The sequence below is a fragment of the Homo sapiens genome, chromosome 2 (assembly GCF_000001405.40).
Source record: "Homo sapiens chromosome 2, GRCh38.p14 Primary Assembly".
NCBI lineage: Eukaryota > Metazoa > Chordata > Mammalia > Primates > Hominidae > Homo > Homo sapiens.
In genome coordinates, this window is record NC_000002.12 from 178,265,121 (window position 1) to 178,289,517 (window position 24,397).

A 24,397-nucleotide genomic window follows, 5' to 3' on the forward strand; every position below is an offset into this window, starting at 1 on the left:
GTCCTCCTGCCTTGGCCTCCCAAAGTGCTAGGATTATAGGCATAAGTCACTTCCCCTGGCCCAGACGAGACTTTTTTTTTTTTTTTTTTTTTTTTTTTTTTTTTTTTTTAAGATAGCATCTTGCTCTGTCACCCAGGCTGGAGTACAGTGGTACACTCATGGCTCACTGTAGCCTCAACCTTCTGGGCTCAAGTGATCCTCCCACCTTAAGTTCCTAAGTAGCTGGAAACACAGGTGTGTGCTACCAGGCCTGGCTAATTTATTTTTATTTTTTGTAGAGACAGGATCTCCCTATATTGCCCAGTCTGGTCTCAAACTCCTGAGCTCAAGTGATCCTCCTGCCTTAGCCTCCCAAAGTGCTGGGATTACAGGTGCAGGCCAACGTGCCAGCTGGATGCTTTAATTTATTCATGCTGTTTTCCAAGTTTCAGTTCCAGTATTGAATAATTGTCCCTCAGCGTATTAGAGGTTACTGGTTCTTTTTTGTGGTGGCTTTAAGTGGGAAGATTTATCACAGCTCTTGGAAGCATGGCAGCCTTTTGGTGGGGAGTCTAATCTGGGTTGGATTTAGGCCCTGTCACTAGCCTAAATCTGACAAGACTGAAGCAGGCACTACCTTCGTAAACTTTTTTATTTTCTTTCTCTCTCGCTCCCCTTTCCTCCTCTACCTTCTTTCCTTCCTTTTGTGTTTCCCTCCCCACTTTGTTCTACAGATATTTATTGAGCATCATGTAGCTTTGAGAAACTTGCAGACTAGTGGGTAAAACATATGCCTGAAAAAAATCACAGAAATCTCTAATTGCAAACTGTGATAAATGCTGAAACAAAAATGCAGGTGCTATGAGACTGCAAAGCAGAGAGATCCGGCCCAGCCTGCAGGATCAGAGAATACTTCCCCAGGGAACTGACGGTTAGGCTGAATTGGGATTAACTAGATGCTAAGGAAAGGGAAAGAAGTGTTTTTCGGGCCAAGGAAACAGAATTTGCTTTAGGAATTAAGAGGATGAGTAACATGGTGTGGGATGAGGCAAGGAAGGAAGCAGGGGCAGATCACACTGAGATTCACGGGGCATGCTGGGGATTCTGGTCTCAATCGCAAGAAGACCACAGTGAGCCCCGTGAACTATTGGAGCCCCATATATGTGTGTTTCTGATTTTTGTAGGATAACACTAAGTGTTCAGCTGTTTATTGACCTATTACAACTTAGAGTATGACTTACAGTGATTGCACCCAGGATGATACCTTATAATTTACAGTGAGCTGGTGTCTCAGAAGAGGATGGAAAGTGAAATCCTGTGGCATTTGGGATTCTGCCTTTGAACAGTGAAAGAACCAAACAGAAGCCAGTTCTGTTATGTCAGCATGCTCTACCACAGAAGCCACCGGGCTTGTGGTTGATCAGCTTGCTCCGTCTGTAAGGTGGGCATGGCTCTTGTGAGGGAGCAGATGGTACTCAGTTGCTCGGATCCTGCAGGTCAGCAGGAACATGAACACAAAGCCTTAACACATGGAGCGAGGTTGAGACCTCAGAGCACCGCCCCTCACAGTCTCTTCACTCCAGTGATAACAGGTGGCTTCAAGAATCACTATGTGCAACAAGACCACAGAAAAGAAAATTATGAAACTAAAGCAATTCAAAGTTCTTTCAACTTGCCCCCATTTGTAAGTGCAATTATTACTATTGTTAACCACATTCCATTGTGGGGTCCAAGCTTTTTCCTGGTACTTTTAAATCTTTTCCACATTAGTGACCCTTAGAAAAGTTGCACTTAAAAAAATACTAGGAGGTAGATAAGACTGGAACTCTCTGTGTCATTCACAAGGATGTTTTCTGGACATGTTGATACAGATGGTGTCAGTGGGGTCTTGAGCAGCATGGGGAGGAGAGCCAGAGAGACATGGCTATTTTTGTTTTTGCCAATGCACTGCAAATTGTCAAAACAAGGTTTAGGCCAGACATGGTAGCTCATGCCTGTAATCCCAGCACTTTGGGAGGCCAAGGCAGGTGGGTCACCTGGGGTCAGGAGTTCGAGACCAGCCTAGCCAACATGGGGAAACCCTGTCTCTACTAAAAATATAAAAATTAGCCGGGCATGGTGGCTTGTGTGTGTAGTCCCAGCTACTCAGGAGGCTGAGGCAGGAGAATTGCTTCAACCCAGGAGGCGGAGGTTGCAGTGAGCTGAGATCTTGCCACTGCACTCCAGCCTGGGTGACAGAGTGAAACTCCATCTCAAAAAAAAAAAAAAAAAAAAAACAAAACAAGGTTTATCATTTTCTTCAATGACATGAGTCTATCTATTATGTCTTTACCTTCCCCACTTCACTTCTCCCATACTCTTAAGCTCTATTATAGGATGAAAAGAAAACTGAAAATAACAAAAGCTACATCTAATACTCTCGTTGTAGGATATATGTAAGTATAAGCTATATATTATTCTAGTAAGTGATTTTCAGGTTTCATCAGGGGCAGAGAAAAATGAAAACCCAGAGAAAAAGAACATTGGCCAGAAAACTTGAGGCCAAGAAAAGTACTGTGATGTAACAGGTTAAATGTGAAATTGTCACCTGCCTGCTGTGTATAAGATACTGCACTAGGCATTTAACAGCATAGAAAAGTTTGGAACAACCAAGGAATTTACATTTTAAATTGAGACCAGCTGTAACTATAAGCAACATATAAAATGTCAAGTAATTGCAAAAAAAAAAAAAAAAGATGAGGTGTCAGAAAGTAGTTTGTGATTTATTGCCAAATGAATGACGCTATCAGTGGAGTGATTTTCTCTGCTAATATCCATACTTCCTAATGATGAAGACCATGCGTGGTGGGCTTGCAGTGCTTACCATAGTGGTAGGTGTTGAGTAAATATTGGCATGAATGAATTACTGAGTGAATGACTGATTCAAGGCTGGAGAACACTAAAGGTTTTAAAGTAAATATGGTGCTTTTAGATTATTTAAATTTTCTTTTTTTTTTTTTTGAGATGGAGTTTCACTCTTGTTGCCCAGGCTAGAGTGCAATGATGTGATCTTGGCTCACTGCAACTCTGCCTCCCAGGTTCAAGCGTTTCTTCTGCCTCAGTCTCCCAAGTAGCTGGGATTACAGGCACCTGCCACCATGCCCAGCTAATTTTTGTATTTTTAGTAGAAACGGGATTTCTCCATGTTGGCCAGGCTGATCTCGAACTCCTGACCTCAGGTGATCCATCCGCCTCAGCCTCCCAAAGTGCTAGGATTATAGGCGTGAACCACTGCACCTGGCCCTTATTTAAATTTTCTAAAAGGTGTAATTATAGTAAAGTACACACATCTTAAATGTAACTGTGATTATTTTTTATATCTATATGGATACACAAAACTACCTCCAGATGAAGATATAGAGCATTTCTAGCATGTTGGATGGTTCTGTCATGACTTCTTCAGTCCATACTCCCCTTGGAATGCCATTCTGATTGCTGTCACCACACATTAGTGCAGCCTGTCTTTGAACTTCATATAAATGGAATTATACAATGGTCCTCTCTTATGTTGAAATTCATCCATGTTGTTGCATGCTGTTGCATGAATCATTCTTTTTTTATTCTGTTTATTATTTCATCATATGACTATTCCACAATATTCTATATTTTGTCTCTCTGTCTTTTTTTTTTTCCCAGAAAATAGAGACATTTATTCCTCCTTATAGCCAGAGCATTGAGGCAGGTTCACATCTGGGTTGGTAGAGCTCAGAGATGGCAGCAAGTGACACGCCTGCCCATTTTTTCCTCCTTCCTGAGCATGTTGGCATCCATCTTTGGACTTTTTGCCCCATTGTCCTAAGATGGCCTCCAGTGCTTCCTGCATGATTGTATGTGCACTGAGCTTCAATCTGCAACTTTGTGTTTGTGCTGAGGGTATGCTTTTTGGATTGGTCCATATTGCTTTGCATAGCTCTTGTTCTCCTGTGTGTCAGTATTGGCAGGCCAGGGTATAGCTCTCTGCTCATTTAACTCTTCTTTAATACCATTTACCAGTTTATTATAAAGGATACAGTTGAGGAACAGCCAGACAGAAGAGAGGTATAGGGCAGGACATGAGGGGATGGGCCAGGAGGGCATGTAGAGCTTCTGTGCCCCCCTTGGGTGTGTCACTCTTCCAGGACCTCATTGTGTTTGCCAACCTGGAAGGTCCCACAATATTATGTTGTTAATGGACATTTGGGTTAGTTTAAGTTTGGGACTACTATTAATGTTTATAAAGCTACTATGAACAATTTGTCTTTTAATGGGCATAAATACTCACTTCTCTTGGGTATATAACATGGAATTGCTGGGTCATAGAGTATTGGTACCTTTAGAAGATGTTGCCAAACATTTTTCTAAAGTGGTCATACCAATTCATTTTCCCAACAGCAATGTAAGAGAATTTAAATATGGATCCTTAACTGTTTTGTAGATGTCAGTAGAGTTCATTTAAAATGTATAAAGACTCTGGTCATTGCAACCCAAGGGAGGGAGGGAATGAATTTTTCCCAGTGTTAGCATTACTCATATTTCCAGACTCCAAACCCTGCCTCTCCCTTTCAGGGCCTTGTTATATTACAGAGTAGGCTCCAGAGAGCAGGAATAGTACCTGATTTCCTACTGCCACATGCTCAGGGCCAGGCACAATATAGGCATTCGGTCAGTATTCAAGTGGATCCTGAGGTAGGGCCATCACTTAGGAAGGCAAATAATAGGAAAAGCATAGTGGCAGCCAGTTACTGAATTCTGACCTTTATGGAGATCAAAGCTTCCAGCTTTATCACTTGCCAGGTTCATGTCATTCATCCCAACTTAATTGAGAGTCTGCTCTGTGCCGATAACTCTTGCTTTACTACTGCTGCAGAATGTCAGGCAGGGCGGACGATAACACACTGGCTTGTTCAGGTATGGGTTAGTGGCCACAGCCTCTCTTTGCTCCCTGAGTAGGCCAGACTTGCGGACTGCCTGGTAGTAAAGAGGGAGCCTGTGATAGGACCCCTGCAGCAGGGTTGGGGGTAGGCTCAGGACAGGTCTGCACCATGGAGAACAGCAATCAGGCAGTTAATGCTTTCCAAGAAATTCTTCAATTTGGCTCCCTTATCAAAGATGACCTCTTATTTTCTTTTTGTGTGGAGAGAGATGAACAGGGAGAATCATAAAGCATGACTATGAATGATTTGAATCTGGAAATATGTGCAATGTGACTTTTGGGCAAAGCTGCTTTAATAATAATAAAAGGTAACATTGAGCACTTCCTACATACCAGGCAGTGTTGTTTAATTCTCATTACAACTCTGTGAGGTGGACACTCTCTTAGTAGCCACATTTCACAGATAGGGAAACCAAGGAACAGAGAGGAGGCATACCTTTCCCAGCGTCACGCAGTTAGAGGGTGGAAGAGTAGGAATGTGAACCGACATGGTTCCAGACACGGGGCTCTTAGCCACTCACCGCATGACAGCTGCCTATTCTTTGTGGTGCTTTGAACTTCTAAATTCATGGTCTTTATTTCTATGAGCCTCACAAAAGTTGGATGTTTGATATGAATGTTTTTAATCTTTTGGGGATGTAATTTCTCCCAGAGATGGCAATTTTTTAGTGTGAAGAAAGTATGATGTATATAGAGGTGTTAGAATAATCCATTGGTCTTGGTTTTGAAAAAGAAAAATGTTAACCTAATATTAGTTGATCTATGTTAGAAAGTTTACAGTACTAGGCCCTGAACACCTTACCTGTAATCTCAAAAGTAACTTGAACTAGGTTTTATCAGGCCAAATCCCCATTTTGCAGATGAGGAAATAGAGGGTCAGATAGGCTGAGTAACCTGCCCAGGGCTTCAAATTTAGAAAACATCAACACTGGGATTGGAATTAAGCCTGTTTAACTCCGAAACCATGTTATCTTTACACAGTACCACAGACTTCCACTTGTGCCCAAAGGAAGCTCTCAATTTCAAGGAAATCATAGTCTACCTTGTTTGCCCTATCCAGTTTTTTTTAAATCAGCCTATGACATCAAATTATATTTCCAGAAGAACAGCTTTGAATTGTAATGGATGGCATTGTTCACTGTCTCGGCATTTTAAAATTTATTTCAATTTTACTGACAATACCATCTATTTAAATACAGGAAGCTTTAGTCATAAGAATGCTAATATGCCTGATTTAGTTGTTAAATTTTGTTGTGCTCTAATGAGCAAACAAGTCACTGTGGAAACCAAATGGAAATCTAGATGAAGAGAGATACAGCAAGAGGCCTAAGAAATGGGGCAGCTTGAAATAATTCCCTCAAAGCAGACTGGGAGACTGAAGAACTGACTCAAAGAGAAATTCGGCTGCTTAACAATGTTTTGTTTTTGCTTAAAAACAAAACAAAACAAAAAAGAGAAATTCAGCCAGGGTTATTCAGTAAAGCTATATATGAAAAATGTTACAGATTATGCAAACCTTAGACTTATTGAGGCTCTATTTTATCATTTCAAAAACTGTATAATTTATGGCAGTGCTACTAACAGTGTTCACCTAATTTATTAATAATTTTTAAACATTATTTTGACCTCGATTTGCATGTGACAAACATGTTTATACTTTAAAGAATATACATAATAGTTATTTTAAAGACTGACTCAATTAAAACACTTAGAATCTCCTGCTCCCTGCCCAAGGATTCAGTTGCCATTCCAGTAATCCAATAGATACTAGAAATGTGATATTCTAGACTGAATGTTCCAGATGTCATTGATATGAAAGCCCTACCAGATAGAGGACCCAACAGAAAATTTCCCATTAGCACAACTTAGTCAAGACAGTTCTGTAAAAGTCTGTTCTTTCATCTGGTTTAGGACTTAGATTGTTCTTTCAGGATTTGAGGCTTAGGGAAATTACTTTTGTCCAAGAGTGAATATCAAAACTCATTTACGTAACAGGTTTTGAACTGAATAGCCAGAGAAATCTCATCTGTGAACACAGGACTGCAGACAGTGGGCAGCTGTCCAGTGGTCTGGCAAGAACTTACTGTTCAGCACAGCCCTGGAGCTTCATGTAAGAGTGAAGTCAGCCTCCACTTGGCGATCCAAAAAGCATTTCAGTTACTGCCAAGTGCCATGTTAGGACTTGTCAACTTCTGCCCAAGTAGTATCAGACTGCTGATGTTTGGATATACTTTTGTTAATCTTTCCCTGTCTTGGCACTTGGGGGTTCTGTTATGTATCAGACTATGTAATTTTTGCATTTTGGTACTTGGATATTTAGTGTTAAAGGCATATTAGAGATGATGATTGAAATGATCACTGTATACGCAGATCTTGAAAGCTCTTGATCCAAGGCCCCAGAGGCAAACAGTATTTTAAGTTTGCAGCAGGGGAAAGACAGGATCAGCTATCTTATGATTTATCTAATTTGGAAGTATATTATCAGTTACCTCAATGGGAAGGAAGCTTTTAATGCACCACCGTTAGTAGCTGTTGGCAGATCACTAGTCGGTAAATGCCCTGGGAGTAGCATTACAATTCTCCTCTCTCAGTTTGCTTCACAAGGAAACAAGTCTCATTGCATATCTTTTTAACTGAAGTCTTTCTTCAGCAAAACTTGTCTGAGTGCAGGTACTTGTCCATTTGGTTTAAATGATCAGTCACTTGAGCTTTAGCACACTTTAGCATCCTTCTTGCATACTGTAGCAAAAAGCATGAGCACCTGCCATGGGCATAAGTGCAAATGGTGCAGGTGGGCTTACAAAGATGGAGCAGTTGTAGACATTGCCCTCAGAGAGCATCCAGTCTTGAAAATAAAAGGCATGTGTTAGTAACTTTGATCAAGATGGGCTGAGGAAATTCCCATAGGTGCTGAGTGAAAGTTATGAAAGTTAAGATCCTGGATAATTCCACTGAGCCACAGAGAATGGCTTCTTGTCATCCAGACAGGGCCTGAAAAGGATGGGATTTAGACTTTGGAGATGTAATGGGGAGACTGTTCTAGGTAGAGGAAATGCACAGAGTGGGTAAAGAGTGAGTATGATTGGGGGAATTGCAAGACGTTTCATTTGCTTGAAGATTTCAAGAAGTATATCCTGGAAGAGGAAGGTGGAAAGTTAGTTGAGGTAAGATCATGAAGGATCTCTAATAGTAGGCTAAGGAATTTCGGCTTTATTCTGTCTTTCTCTAATTTCAGTATTAACTTAAGTATTTTAATATGGCCGGGCTGTGGCACATTCCTGTAGTCCCAACACTTTGGGAGGCCAAGGCAGGTGAATCACTTGAGCTTCACAGTTTGAGACCAGCCTGGACAGCATGGTGAAACCCCATCTCTACAAAAAATAGCCAGGCATGGTGGTGCATGCCTGTATTCCCAGCTACTCGGGAGGCTGAGGTGGGAGGATTGCTTGAGCCTGGGAGGTGGAGGCTGCAGTGAGCTCAGATTGGGCCACTGCACTCCAGCCTGGGTGACAAAGTGATACCCCGTCTCAAAAAAAAAGTAAACAAGTAAATTAAAAGTATTTTAACCTAAGGTCTGATTATTATGCCATTAATAAACAGTAAAGTGATCCTTTTGGCAGTTTGTTGGGGAACAAATACTACTGTTTATACAACTGCAGTATTTATAATATGAGTGAAAATAGCATTTTTTGGCTGACAATTTTAAACAGAGGCAGTTGCAAATACATCGCATAACCATATCACTCAGAGAAAGTCAGCTAAGGCATACAGCATACACTTATTTTGATTTGTCCATAGATTTGCTGATATTGGGATCTACATTTCACAGCTTTTTTCTTGGCCAGGTGGGTGTTGATAATGCCTAATAGCCCATATCTCTGGCAAACAAGACACCAGCTTGTTTGAAAGCTGAGTCATTGAGCTCCTTTATCTTTCTTCCCAATTTCCTACTTAGCATTTTCCCTTTACATTGGGCACGTGGTAAGCAATGAGATGCCCATTGATTTGCTGCCCAGGAAAGAGCAGCTCTGGCTTTTTTCTATTCAAAGTAATTATTTTAGTGTACCTATAGTGTGCCTTGGAAATATTCTGAGCTGATGCTTTTAGTTATTGCAAGCTAGTAAAAGAATTTTATCAGATAGGCTTGCAACACTTTTCAGTTGATAAAAACATTAGTGAAGAGGGCCATCTTTGTTAGTATTCTCTGGCTAACTAACTCAGTTGATTAAAGCTTGAGGCTTATGTGGGCGAGGTCAATTTTTTTTTTTTTTTGCTCTGTGATTATCTCTTGCAAACTTGAGTCTTGGCTTTCAATAAATAATTATGATAATAGCAAGCACTTATGTAGTCTTAAGTGCTATATATAAATAAACTAATAAATAAACTGTACATAATAAACTAATTTAATCCTCAGAATAATCCCAAAAGGCAGGTACTGTTACTCTCTCCATCTTCACAGATCATGGAACAGAAGCTATGTAACTTGCCCAAGGTCACATTACTGGCAATTGACTGAGCCAGGGTTTGAACCTAGGCTGTTAGGCCTCCGGTCTTTACCATTGATCTCATTCAAATCCAGGGACACCAGTAAGGGTGTCCCTAGATTTAATTAAGTAAACACAATGTATGTCTACATATTTATAACTATGTATTCTCTATAAGGTGAAACTTTGAATTTAAGAAATTTCAAACCAATATTACAATATCCAGACACCAAAAATATATTTACATCTCTTTTGTTGTCCACTCAACAGTATGTTTCAGATATAGGAGTGTGACTAGGATGCAACTTAAACTTCAGATTGTACCCTGCTGAGCAGTTTAAAAATTGTCCTCTAGGACCATGATTTTTTTTTTTTAAATGAAAGACACAGAAATTTTTGTATCCAATTTCAGACACTTTCCAGAGTCTCTGAAGCGCACTCCTAGGTCCACAGATCTTTTCCCCAAGCAATAGAGAGTAATTGAGCAACAGGATAACATGATCAAATCTATGTTTTAAGAAAGATAACTCCGATGACAATGAAAGATGGCCTGGAGGAGATAATGACTGGGAGTAGAGAAATGAAATGGTAATGGAAAAATAACTATTTTCTAGCATGAAGTAAGGATATAGAGTGATGTCACTAACTAAGGAAATATAAGGAAAGGAAAAGGGGCAAGGGCAGAAAGATAATGGTGCTGGGCACAGTGGCTTTCGCCTGTAATCCCAGCACTTTGGGAGGCTGAGGCGGGTGGATCACTTGAAGTCAGGAGTTTGAGGTTAGCCTGGCCAACATAGTGAAACCCCGTCTCTACTAAAACTACAAAAATTAGCCGGGCATGGTGATGGGCGCCTGTAATCCCAACTACTCACAAGGCAGAGGCAGGAGAATCTCTTGAACCCGGAAGCCGGAGGTTGCAGTGAGCCAAGATTGCACCACTGTACTCCAGCCTGAGAGTGAGACTCTGTCTCAAAAATAATAATGATAATAATAATAATAATGGGTTTGATTTTTGAACACACTGAGTTTCAGGTGCCCTTGATATATTGCAATGGAATCGACAGTAGGAAATTGGAAATGCAATCTGGAAAAGAGGTCAGCATTGAGGAGACGGATTGAGTAGTCTCCAGCAAATGGTAGGTTTAAGGCCTCAAAGCGAGACAAGGTCACTCAGGAGAAGCCAAACGGAGAAAAAAAAGAGGGAAAAAAAAAAAGAGGAACCAGTAAAGCTGACTTGGGGAGAAGAGACTTGGGGAAGCAGCAGCAGCAGCAGAACATTTGAGCACTTCCGTATGCCTGGACTGTTATGAACACTTTACATGCATTAATTTGCTTAATCCTCAGGCAATTCAGTGAAAGAGCTACTTTTTCCAGATGAGGAACCCGAGGCACAGAGAAGTAAAATAATTTTCACAAGGTCACAGAGCTAGTAAGTCACTTTCAATGGTAAATTAGCAGTAGCATTGTTAAGCAAATGTAATTGAGTTAAGATAGTTTTTTAACTCTTTTAAAGATTTAAATATAGATTAGTAAGCTTTGATGATAGGATTTTCTACTTTCCCCCTAGTGTATCAAGTAAATATATTACGATCATCATAATTCATGAGGGAAATATGATCTGAGACTTTCATAAATTTACCAATCCCCTAGGCCTCTCTCATGCAAATATTCTGTCAAGATTCATGCATTTCTTAAATATTTTTATATGATAGTTTAAGCTTTCCCTGAAGTTTTCTCTCAGTGAGAATTTGGGCATTGGTTGGAATATCCCCTGAAATGATTTCGTGAGTCACATTTTTAAATATTTCTACTTAGAATATTTAAATATTCTAAATGGTTTTTTTTTTTTTTTTTTTGAGACGGAGTCTCGCTCTGTCGCCCAGGCTAGAGTGCAGTGGCATGATCTTGGCTCACTGCAACCTCTGCCTGCCGGGTTCAAGTGATTCTCCTGCCTCAGCCTCCCAAGTAGCTGGGATTACAGGTATGCACCACCACACCCAGCTAATTTTTGTATTTTTAGTAGAGACAAGGTTTCACCATGTTGCCCAGGCTGGTCTCGAACTCCTGACCTCAAGTGATCCATCCACGTCGGCCTCCCAAAGTGCTGGGATTACAGGCTTAAGCCACCACTCCTGGCCTTTACATTCTTCTTTATAAGTTTCCCTGAACTTCTCTTTGTCTCCGTGAATCCATTGCTTCCTCAGAACTTCTTCATTTTGTTTTCCCTTTTATTACTCCACTAGAAGAGTTTTTTTTTTTTTTTGAGCCCATTTTCTCACAATAATTTTTTAAATCACTTCATCAGAGTTATGTGCATTGAGGAGCAAGAACAATGAAACCATATCAAGCCACCACAGCTGGATTCTCTGCTAGGCAGGAGTCAGCAAACTGCAGTAGGTGCCCACCACTTTTTTATAAGTAAGGTTTTGCTGGAACACAGCCATGTTTATTTGTTTATATATTGTCTGTGGCTCCTTTCCTGGCACAGCAGCAGAGCTGAGTAGTTTCATCAAGGGATTGCACAAAATCTAAAATATTCACTGATCTGGACCTTTACAGAAAGTTTGCTAACTCTTTCTTTAGAGCATACTCCTTTCAGAAGATTAGGATGTGTCCTAAGCATGTTTATAGTGTTTTAGAATTAATGGAGTTATTAATTTTTATGCAATTTTATTCAACTGAATAATAGAACTATTGAGTGGTTTCTGTAATATTTATTCTTTGGATTTCACACAGATGTTGTCAAGGGAATAATAAAATTGCAGATTCCTTTAAATAGCCTCTACTCAGAATTCTTAGCTGTATGATCAGTCATCTGAATTTTTGTCAGCATTAACAATACTCTTTAATTTGGGGGAAAAAAATCTTTGAATGGTTAATAAATGTCAAGTCCTCCCTGTGCTTGGCTTTTGAATTTTGAAGAAAGAAAACACTTTCCCTACCCTCAGAGAAATATTGTCAATTAGATCTAAGTTATATGCAAACAAAAAAATCTGAAAAAATTGGCTAAATGGTAGAACTGTGATAGACTGAGAAAATTATGTTTGTCTTGAGCAAATTAGTTTATTAGGGTATATAGTTTATTAGCATTTATAAATAAAATATCTTGTTATACTTTGATCATGTTTCTGAAAAATCATGAATGTTTTGTTTCTCACTGATTATTTTGCTAAGGCAAGAAACACGTGAGGCTGTCTAGGTTCACCTTCTGTCCTGTCCACTGTTAGTTCTTGGTTTGTCCCCTCCTGTTTCCACTCTCCCAGGTTGCTTCATCCTCCCATCTGATCTCTGAGGTTCTCTCTTGTCTTTTTCCTCCCGTTTGTTCTGCGGCTAGATCCCCCTCCATGAAGTATGATCACGTGGCTCTCCTGTTCTGAACTTCGCTCCTGTTCTTTACAGCCCACACAGTGAAATTCAATCTCTCACCAGCATTTGAGACCTTCCACGCTGTTTCAAACCTTTTCTCTGGCTTCCCCTGCTCTACTCTCCTCCTTTGTCCCCTAAGCTCTGAGCTCTGAACTACAGACTACACTTTCCCGTCTCTTGATTTTCATATACTTTTCTCACTGTTTGAAATGTCCTTTATTCATCCCTGCATGCCCATTTTCTGCCTGATCTACTCATCTTTCAAATGCCTCCTCTTTTGAGGAACTTCTTCTGATCTGATTCCCACCCAGCCCACAAACGCCAAGCTAGAATTATTTTCATGCCATCAATATTCATAGTACATATTTTGCTTTTGTAACTTAAAAAGATTACTCACATACCTTTTCCTGTTATCTAGGGCTTTGAGCCCTCTAAATTTCTTAAGGGCAAGAGCCTGGTTTTTGTTGATTGTTACATTTCTAGATCCTCTTTAGAGTCTGGTTTTGATGTTTATATATAATAACTACATAATTGACTTACTGTTGTGGATTAATCAATCAATACTTAGTGGTGGATATGAAAACTCTGATATGTTATTTCAGCTTGTGAATTTTAACTTCTTTGATATGTAGTAACATTAATGAGATAAGATACTTTTCTGAGGTTAAATGTCTTTTGCTCTTTACTTATTAACAAGAAAGCCACAGTAGTTACTAGGTAACAATGACTGAAATTTGTATATTTCATCTTCAGGAAGTTACCCCAGCACAACCTGTTTCCATTAAACCTATTGGATTGTGGCACTTAAACTATATTCTCCAGAGACTTAGATACCCTCAGTGAACTTGAAACTTTCATAGGTAGGAAAAGAAAAATCAATTTCTTGTCTAAACATTGCTGCCAGTGGAAAAAAGCAAAATGATTATCTTTTCACTAATGAAGTTAGTGGTGACAATAGGCAAAGTAAGCAAGATAATAAAAAAAGGTGTTGTACTGTGTATTGTGCTACAGATTTCTAGAAAAGCAATTTAGAATGTTGAACCCTAAATTAAGACCAATCCTTCTTTGTAGAAATGGTGTGAGCATTGAAATAAAACCATGGCCCACATATGTGAGAAAATGATCAAAAGTGTCTCATTTCTTGTTTTTGGTATGAAATAGACTTTGCTATCTAGATTACATAGATAACTCTTCTGGTTGTCTTTATTATTTTAGGAATTCTTTATTATTGTACAGAGTGCTGGGGTTTGCTTAATCTTGTCTCCATTTTGCATTATATGCATTTACCTAGTAGCTACATGGGACAATCTAATCTTTGGTAGACTACATCTTGGTTTCTGATGGGCTTGAATAAGAAAGGAGAGGAATGTGCGGGGAATGCACTAGACAAGAACATGTGGGCAAAACCCAGGCTGTTGGGAGGATTAGTCACATAGCTTAAAGGAAAATTCTGTTGCAAAGATAATGGATCATTTGCTTCCTGAATGAGCCATTCAGAAGGAACCATTGCCAAGTCACTAAACTCTTCTGAATGAGATTTTCCAGAGACGCCCACTGGCTAGTACTGGTTAGTGTGGGAAATTTTGTTTAAATCAACCTTTTCAACCTTTACAACTTTTGCTCATTAATGATTTAGAAAGATAATGTTAGCATCCTTTTTGATCTACAGAGGATATGTTTAAATAGAACATGATTCCTATTGTGAATGTGTTTCAGTTAAAACCAGATGTGCTGTACGAAAACGCATGTGTGTGCACGCGTGTGCATGCACACACACGCATGCACGCCAATTTTGGTTATACTTTTTGAAAGAACCAATCTTCCTATCTCTGAGTATATTTCTTAACTGGGGTATTTCTTAGTGTGGCTTTAAGGATTAATCTTCAATGTACTTTGTCACAAGCAGTAATCAGGCTTGAACTTTATACACTTATCACCTTTGGACTTCTGCCCTGCATGCAGTTTATGTGCAAGGTAAAACAAGACCCAGTGAAATTTCTTAATTAAAATGAGGTTGGGACAGGTGCGGTGGCTCACACCTGGAATCCCAGCACTTTGGGAGGCCGAGGCGAGTGGATCACGAAGTCAAGAGATCTAGACAATCCTGGCCAACATGGTGAAACTCTGCCTCTACTAAAAATACAAAAATTAGCTGGGCATGGTGGCGCACACCTGTAGTCCCAGCTACTCGGGAGGCTGAGGCAGGATAATTGCTTGAACCTGGGAGGTGGAGGTTGCAGTGAGCTGAGATGGCACCACTGTACTCCAGCCTGGCAATAGAGTGAGATCTGTCTCAAAAAAATTTAAAAAAAATAAAATTAAATAAAATGAGGTTGAATTGCCACTTAGTGAACTCTGGCTTTCTAAAATAATATATGTCACCTAGAAATTTGGAATGTGAATGTGACTATATAAACCTGTATGTCCTAATCAAGCTTTTGAAGCTGAATTAAGACAAATGTTTCTAATATTTTTGGCTTGAGTAACTATCAGAGATGATTGGTTATAACTGAACCATGTGTTAATAGTGTGGTGGTAATTTTTAACTCAGAGTACTCAGTCCCCCTGGAGGTTATAGCGGGTACTACACTTCATCTTGGTTGTCTTTTTGAAGGTTGTACAGAATATTCGCATGAACATTAATTATGGTTGCAGAACAAGCCAAAACCTCTGTTCTTTGACATTTCATATGCATTGTGTGAAAATATACACTTTCGTGCATTTAATAGCAAAATAGACAATAATAGATTAGTTTCTTACAGAATACATGTAAGTCAAAACCTTGTAAATTTCTATTTTAAACTCTAACACACAGTGTCAGAGTTAACAATTGTGTGCAGGCCTGCATAAATGTCTTCTTTTGAGAAGTGTCTATTCATATCCTTTGCCCAATTTTTAATGGGGTTGTTTGTTTGTTTCTTGTAAATTCGTTTAAGTTCCTTGTAGACTCTGGTTATTAGACCTTTGTCAGAGATGGATAGATTGCAAAAATTTTCTCCCAGTGTGTAGGTTGTCTGTTTGCTCTGGTAGTTTCTTTTTCTGTGCAGAAACTCTTTAGTTTAATTAGATGTCATTTGTCAATTTTTGCTTTTGTTGCAATTGCTTTTGACTTTTTTTTTTTTTTTTTCTTTTGAGATGGAGTCTTACTCTGTTGCCCAGGTTGGAGTGCAATGGCATGATCTAGGCTCATTGAAACCTCTGCCTCCCAGGTTCAAGCAATTCTGTCTCAGCCTCCCGAATAGCTGGGATTACAGGCATGCGCCACCACACCTGGCTAATTTTTGTATTTTTTAGTAGAGACAGGGTTTTCCCACGTTGGCCAGTCTGATCTCAAATGCTTGACCTCAGGTGATCCGCCTGCCTCGGCCTCCCAAAGTGCTGGGATTACAGGTGTGAGCCACCGTGCCCGGCCGCTTTTGACGTTTTCCTCATGAAATCTTTGCCTTGCCTATGTCCTGAATGGTATTGCCTAGACTTTCTTCTAGGGTTTTTATAGTTTTAGGTTTTACATTTAAGTCTTTAATCTGCCTTGAGTTAATTTTTGTATAAGGTGTAAGGAAGGGGTCCAGTTTCAGTTTTCTGCATATGGCTAGCCAGTTCTCCCAGCATCATTTATTAAATAGGGAATCCTTTCCCCATTGCTTGTTTTTGTCACGTTTGTCAGAGATCCCATAGTTGTTGACGTGCAGTCTTATTTTCTATGCTGTCCCATTGGTCTATGTGTCTGTATTTGATCATGTCCTTTGCAGGGACATGGACAGAGGTAGAAGCCATTATCCTCAGCAAACTAACACAGGAACAGAAAACTAAACACTGCATGTTCTCACTTATAAGTGGGAGCTGAACAATGAGAACGCATGGACACAGGGAGGGGAACAACACACACTGGGGTCTGTGGTGAGGGGGGTGGTGGGTGGGAGAGCATCAGGAGAAATAGCTAATGCATGTGGGGCTTCATACCTAGGTGACGGGTTGATAGGTGCAGCAAACCACCGTGGCACACATTTACCTGTGTAACAAACATGTACATCCTGCACATGTACCCCAGAACTTAAAAGGAAAAAAATTGTTTGCACAGAATTAAGGTCCGGTCCCTGCTTCCCGGAGTACACACAGTCTGGTATAGGAGACACAGTTCACACATAAAACTGTAAGACCAGGACAGCCTGACACAAATAGAACTGACCAAAAGTACTGAGCAGCTTCTTCTTCCTAACTGGAAAGATCAGTGAAGGAGTTGGGAGTTGCAGTTTTGTGCTGGATTTTGAAGGCTGTATTGGCAAAGACTATGGCGAAAGAAGAAGGAAGTAGATGGATGCTCCTTGGGCTAAGGTTTTATTTACATAGGCAGGTAGCCAAGGACACACACACACAGCATATGTGATGCGATGGGAGAGGGCGGAGGAATTCCTTAGATATGGTTAGTGAGATTCAACTTGTCTTATCCCTCCCCTCTGCTGCTGCTTAGTGGAGGAAACAGCGGGAAGGAAAGGAAGCCTTAATCTTACCCCCTTGGTCCTCTCTTCTGGTTTACCTTCCCACTTGTTATTTTAGAATGGTAAGAACTTGTGGAGAATCAGACTAGGACAGAGGAACGGGGGTGAATGAGCAAAAAGAGCTGCAGGATAGCACAGGGGACTCTTTAGCTTGCCTTTTCTTTTTCCTCTTTATCAGTGTCTTCTCTGTTTCCAAAGCTTGACAGAGTTCATCATAGGAAGGAGGAAGGAAGAGATGGCTAAGGGAGTTTCTGCTTTTTGTTTTTTGTTTTTAGACAGAGTTTCGCTCTTGTTGCCCAGGCTGGACTGCAATGGCATGATCTCAGCTCACTTCAATTTCTACCTCCCGGTTTCAAGCGATTCTCCTGCCTCAGCCTCCTAAGTAGCTGGGATTATAGGTGCCTGCCACCATGCCCAGCTAATTTTTTGTATTTTTAGTAGAGATGGGGTTTCACCATGTTGGCCAAGCTGGTCTCGATCTCCTGACCTCAGGTGATTCACCCACCTTGGCTTCCCAAAGTGCTGGGATTACAGGTGTGAGCCACTGCGCCTGGCCTGCTAGGGGAGTTTCTATAGCTGACAATTCATATTCCATCTGCCTGTAATTAAATGAGATTAAAGAGCATAGACTGAGTAGTGTGCAGAAAATAAAAAGATGCAATGCTGAGCATACAAAAAGAATTCTGATGGATCTTAGCCTTAGTATTCAAGGTCATCATCATAATCAACAATTAAATTTTACTCAGGACTTACAAGGTACACGGAATCGTCTTACAACACAGTAGAATTTTTTTTAAAAATGTTATTTAAAGAAGTGGAAGGGGAGTTAGAACAAAAACTTTTGCAGAAAGATGGTACTTAAGGGGGCAATCATGGCATTGGATGCTGGCCAAACATAAATCTTCTGCAGTTTCAGTAAGTTGTAGCCTTAGAATATGTATGTATGTATACATGTGCTTGTGTGTGCATTTTTCCCATTCTCAATAAGTAAAAAAAAAAAAGGAAAACTAAAACAGAGTGAAAGGATAGGCTTGAAAAAGTCAAACCCAGGGAGTGATTTTTAAAGCTGGCTTGTGAATAAAGGAGCCTGCTAGAGAGGTTTATGGCTGGAAGGATAAAAACGTCTGTCATGTTTCAGGATCAGAGAGTAACTTCTTTGGATTACTTGTCACATTTTTCTCTTATCTTATGATGAATTTATTCTCTTGTAAAAATACTGTGTTTTGGTCCATTTGTGTTGTCATAAAGGAATACCTGAGGGTGGGTAATTTGTAAAGAAAAGAGGTTTATTTGGCTCATGGTTCTGCAGGCTGTATAAGAAGCACGGTGCTAGCATCTGCTTCTGGTGAGGGCCTCAGGCTGCTTCCATTCGTGGCAGAAGATGAAGGAGAGCTGTTATGCAGAGATCACATGGTGACAGAGGAAGCAAGAGAGAGAGAGAAAAGGAGTCCCAGGTTCTTTTTCAGCAATCAGTTCTTGTGGGATATAAAAGTGAGAATTCACCCCTCAGAATGGTACCAAGCTATTCATGTGGGATCCGCTCCTGTGACCCAGACACCTCCCACCAGGCCTCACCTTCACCACCGGGGATCATATTTCAACATGAGACTTGGTGAGGCCAAATTATATCCAAACCATAGCATACTGTTTCTTTGCTTTCTGAGAAATTATGTCAAGTTAAAAACTATATTCTTTTATAGTATGTATAGAGTCTGTTCTTCTTGCTAGAGGATTGTTCTAGGAGTTTGGCTACAGTTCTCTTCTACAGCAAATTAGAGACTGTTCATGCGTTTTTTTCAGGGCATTAGAGATTGTACATCTATGTGCATGTATGATGAAACCACTTCATACTTACTATTTTTAAAAACTCTATTGGGCCAGGCATGGTGGCTCAGCCTGTAATCCCAGCCCTTTGGGAGGCCGAGGCAGGCAGATCATCCAAGGTCAGGAGTTCGAGACCAGCCTGGCCAACATGGTGAAACTCCATCTCTACTAAAAATAAAAAAATTAGCTGGGCATGATGGCGTGTGCCTGTAATCCCAGCTACTCAGGAGGCTGAGGCAGGAGAATCACTTGAACCCAGGAGGCAGAGGTTGCAGTGAGCCGAGATCACACCATTGCACTCCACCCTGGGCATTGCAGCGAGACTCTGTCTCAAAACAAAACAAACAAACAAAAAAGCCCTGTTGAGGTTTATATTTAATTGGAGGGCTAAATGTGGTCCTGGAGAATATATTTTGTCCCCTTTTAGGAAATATTTGCTATATCACTTGAGAGTTTTCATACTCCAAGCTCTGGGTGAGATGTAAATTATGAATGTTACTGATTACTGAGAAGGTCAGTGGTTACGTCTTTGAGGTTACATAAAACTGAACAAAGGAGATAAAAAGCTGAGGCATGTACCCATATGAACTTCCTGTTCAAAAGATAAATTGGGAGGAATTTTCTGATTGGCCATAGGCAGTCCCCGTGAGAGGCTCACGAAAGTTTTGTAAAGATGTACTATATGACTGTAATCTCTCTTTTTCAGGTTCTGCCACTTGCTGGGAAAACAGCAACAGAAGGATATTAAGGAGCCACCCCTATAATTTACCCAGATAGCCCCAGCAAGGTCAAAGACATATCATGTCCCAAGGAGAAAAGCTGCAGGCATCTGAGGATAAATCACTGTGAAACAGCTTTGACCATAAAGCTGACTTGGAAGACTTTGACTCCAAGGTGCAAGGTGAGTTAGAAGAACACAAGCTTAAAACCAAAAGCAGGGTTAGGTTAGGCAGCGCTTAATAATAGCAACAGATTAGTGGGACACCACAAAGTCACAGGAAGGTGTTTCTTTATATCTCTTATTTGTATGTCAGATCTTAAAATAATATGTCATAATCCTTATAATAAAAAGTTCTTTTTTTTTTAAGGATAGGAAGTAGAAAAATGTGAAAATATTTGGTAACCATTTTCTGTTTTCTGTATGTAGTCTGGCATCATGTGGAAATATGATACTGCTTTTCCCTTCTTGAGCAATGAACGTGCAGACCTAAACCTTAAAATAGCCAAAATGTTATCCTTGCTTTCTTTATACACATATCCACAAACCCACATTTGACTACAGGTACACATTCTTAAAATGCATCCAGTTTTTATAATCTTCCATAGTAAACAATGAGACAGTCAACTTTTCTTTTTGCTCATGAGACTGAAATGGCTGTGGTACTAGCAATACTTTTTGTGGTATCCTTGTCATCTTTGATATTTGTGGTTATTATTTTAGAGCCGCTTTATATAACTATTTGATATCTTAGGCCTACTGAGTTTGTGGTCTTCACCACTTAGCTGCACCCTCCCAGTTATCCAAAGCTTTCTATTTCTTCAAGGTCAGCCATCCCCAGGGTGGAAGTTTGTGGCATTAATCGTCTTCGGGAGCTTTTTACAAGCTGCACATCCTCTGCTCAAACCTTATTTGCCAGGGGCACAGGGATGGTGGTGGTAGTGGTGATGACAATTCAGACATATATGATTTGGGAAAGTTTCTTTTGTATCCTGATGCCATTCCCGCCCTTTCCTAGCGTGGACTGGTTCCTCTTGGTAGAGCAGAAACCAAGGCTCAGTAATTTAGTGTAATCATTGTTATATTAGAAGCTTTCTGTTTATTACTGTATTGTTTAAAAGCGCATTTTAGATTAGAGCTTGCAAAGTAGCCCACAGGCCAAATTTTTTGCTAACATTTTTTAACCTGTAAAAATTTTCTTTTTATAAGAAAATTAATTGCCAACATTTGAAAATCTGGAAACTTCACATAAAAATCAGATAGATCAGATATCTGGTTTCTCTTGGAAGATTAAAAATCTGGTCTTGTTACTATCCTAGTAACTGTACTTTGCTAGTATTTTGCATTCCCTAAATATTTAACCAAACCAATCTTACAGATTATGGCACCTGCCTGGGACACGTAGGCTTTTGAGTTCAAGAGTCCTGCTTTAAGCATCAATTTCTTCTGCTCTCTGTATATGAGGTCACTTCTATGTACTTTAATATAACATTCTATTAGTATTTATCCTCTGCTATTATTTTAGCATTTATTATTTTATATAAAATGTATGAGCTTTGAGAAGCTGACACTTGCCAGCCAGGCTTACCTATGAAGTAAGAAGACTTTTCAAAGATAAGATGTTTCAGGCCATGGGCTTAAGGAGATCTAATTTTCATAGTGATGTGCTCTGCATCATTTTTTCCAGATGTGGAGGGTGTCATCTCAGGGTCTGATATTTCATGACCTAAGAGTTCAGTTGCCTGATCTGACTGTTTTGGTTCCAGGGACGTAAACTGATTCACCAAGTAGCCTTCTTTTTGAATGACCCCCGTAGGGATTTAGAGTCCATTTTCTAGGCCCTCACTCATTCTGGACACCAGGGCGACTCAGAGAACAGTAATGCTATGCCCTCTATATGTGCAGAGCTTTTAGCATTGAGAAATCTTGCCGTCAGAGTTAGACATACCTCCATCACAGTGAGTTGTAGTTACTCACAAACTTGTCTTTCCTCATCTTTGATTGCTATATATTGTTGCTAAATGAAATTCATGCGTAATGTTTCTGTCAATTTGATATTGAACCAAATGTTTATATGGTAATAAAATACTTTAACCATGGAAGCATTTCAAATCATAGGGTCCTTATAGGCATAGCATTTCTGTGCCTGCATTAGCTAAACTCAACGTGGGGAAACTGACATACTCCTAAAACAATGGTTCTTCTTTTTTTAAAAAAAAAAAAAAAAAAAACAAATTATTTTACTTAAAAAATAAGATTTACAGATATTTTCCCATAATGCATTTAGAGTCCAACTGGTAATGCCTGTTATTTAAGCAGATTTCAGGCCACAGGGTATCCATTTCTCCCCCCTAGATACATCAGACACATTGTAAATCTCTTCTTGATTGGTATCCATTTTTAAATGTTGAGGCACATAGGAAAGAAGGCCAATGGGTGGGATTTTTATTTTGAGTATCTTAGTTTCCTTCTGCCTGCATTACTTTGCTCCATCTCATGGATTCTGTTAGATCAGTATTGCCTAGGATCTCTCAATACTTGACAACATGCAGAGTTGAAATCGTGCATGAGTCCCTTTGAGTATCAAGTTTAAGTTCATGGAAATAAAGTACCTGAAAATTTGTTTCCACACTTTTGCTGAGTTGTGACTTGACTATAGGAGAAAAAAACTGAATTCTTTTTTGAAGGGGAATTTCAGGTGATTGATATCTCATTTTCTACATGAATTTTGTTTGCTAGATTCATAGAGCCTATCTCCCCCCATCTACCCCCCACAAAAAAATAAGAAAGAAATTTGCTTTTATTTCTTTGGTTACAGGAATTAAAGAGTATGTGTGCATGTACACTCAGAAATGCTTTCAGAAAACCTTCTTATCTCGTTTTCTTGGAGTTCCTGTTATCAGCTCCACATTCCATTTCCTTTAACTCCCTGAGGAAGTGACAACTAAGACCGAAAAAATGGGGAAATGGGGGAAAAATTGTAGGGAGGGCTTAGGAGCTGTTGTTGACATATGAAACAGGTTGATTTTTTTTTTTTTAAGTAAAACTAACCAGTGAGCAAAAATAACATGGTTAGGTAAAAAGTGGAAGAGGAGAAAGAGTATTCAACCCTGACATGGTGAGGAAGCTGCCATTGACTCCCTTTTATCATTTTTGGGTCATGAGACTTCCCCCTGGAGTAGTGGAAATGGAGAGAATAGCAAGCAGGAATTGGCAATGCAGACACCATTTCACCTGCCCTGTTTCTTCCTGTCCTGGGCTTTCCCTCAGGTTAAAGGGGGTCTCTTCTGCTCAAGGAGCACCTAATCTGAAGAGCTGAGGGACCCAGAGGAAGTAGCAGGCCAGTAGCCACCTCCTCTCTCCAGGGAAAAGGAGTGAGACCCCAAAACTTCGTTCTTGCCTGTTGAAAAGTATGGAAACAAAGGAGGGACAAGAGAAGATTCTTTGTCCAGAGAGAAGGGCTGTGCCCCAGGCCAGCTCTCGCCTGTGCATTCATTGTCCATCACAATCTGGTTTGTGAGGTTTTAGAAAAATGAGTCGCCCAAACACCTGAAAGATTTAGACCAGTTCTGAAAAATAAATTGTACCTTGAATACATATCCAGTAAAAGTATGTATAACTGTATAAGTAACTAAGTGGGGGAAAAAAAGGAGTATACTGTTCATATCAAGGTTTTCATATATAAATAGTAGGGAAAAGGGACTTTTTTTTTTTTTTTAAATTTTTTGAGAGGGAGTTTCGCTCTTGTTGCCTAGGCTGGAATGCAGTGGCGCGATCTCAGCTCACTACAACCTCTGCCTCCCGAGTTCATGTGATTCTCCTGCCTCAGCCTCCCAAGTAGTTGGGATTACAGGCGCCCGCCACCACGCCCAGCTAATTTTTTATATTTTCAGTAGACACGGGGTTTCACCATGTTGGCCAGGCTGGTCTTGAACTCCTGACCTCAAGTGATCCACCCGCCTTGGCCTCCTGAAGTGCTGGGATTACAGGTGTGAGCCACCGTGCCCGGCCAGGGACGTTTTTTCTTTATTAAGACTTTTTTCTTCTGTTGATTTTTGTTTTCTTTTTCTTTTTCTTCTTTTTTTTTTTTTTTTTTTGAGACAGAGTCTCGCTCTGTCACCTAGGCTGGAGTAGAGTGGTGCAATATTGGCTCCCTGCAACCTCTGCCTTCTGGGCTTAAGCGATTCTCCTGGCTCACCCTCCCGAGTAGCTGGGACTACAGATGCGTGCCACCACACCCAGCTAATTTTTGTATTTTTAGTAGAGATGGGGTTTCACCATATTGGCCAGGCTGGTCTCAAAGTCGTGACCTCATGATCCACCCGCCTCGGCCTCCCAGAGTGCTGGGATTACAGGCGTGAGCTACTGTGCCCAGCCAGTTTTTGTTTTCTATATTTTAAAAATACATTTCATTTGAAAAAATTTCAAACTTAGGCTTTTGTATAAGAATAGCATAATGAACAACCATACGCACACACTCAGATTCATCTATCTCCTTCTCCATTTATCAGAAGTCATTAGAAGTAGACATCATGTCATATCCACCCCTGCATTTTCCAGTAGGCATATTTTAATATGC

The 24,397-nt window shown here is 40.1% G+C and overlaps 1 protein-coding gene across 48 annotated transcripts in view, besides 1 other annotated feature; it reads left to right on the forward strand.

The window, feature by feature from the left end:
- The window catches only part of OSBPL6 (oxysterol binding protein like 6), a 209,120-nt gene that overhangs the window by 71,347 nt on the left and 113,376 nt on the right, over window positions 1-24,397 (forward strand). For all 48 annotated transcript variants that reach the window (XM_047443146.1, XM_047443150.1, XM_047443130.1 and 45 more), the window contains one exon: window positions 19,807-20,001. The gene's annotated coding sequence lies outside the window, so the exon portion shown is untranslated. The remainder of the gene's footprint in view (window positions 1-19,806; window positions 20,002-24,397) is intronic.
- Window positions 12,315-12,815: an enhancer, noted in NCBI's record as "H3K27ac hESC enhancer chr2:179142162-179142662 (GRCh37/hg19 assembly coordinates)". NCBI's record gives its function as "activates a minimal SCP1, AML or CMV promoter by ChIP-STARR-seq in primed H9 embryonic stem cells {active_cell/tissue: H9 hESC(primed)}" and the evidence as "EXISTENCE:reporter gene assay evidence [ECO:0000049][PMID:30033119]".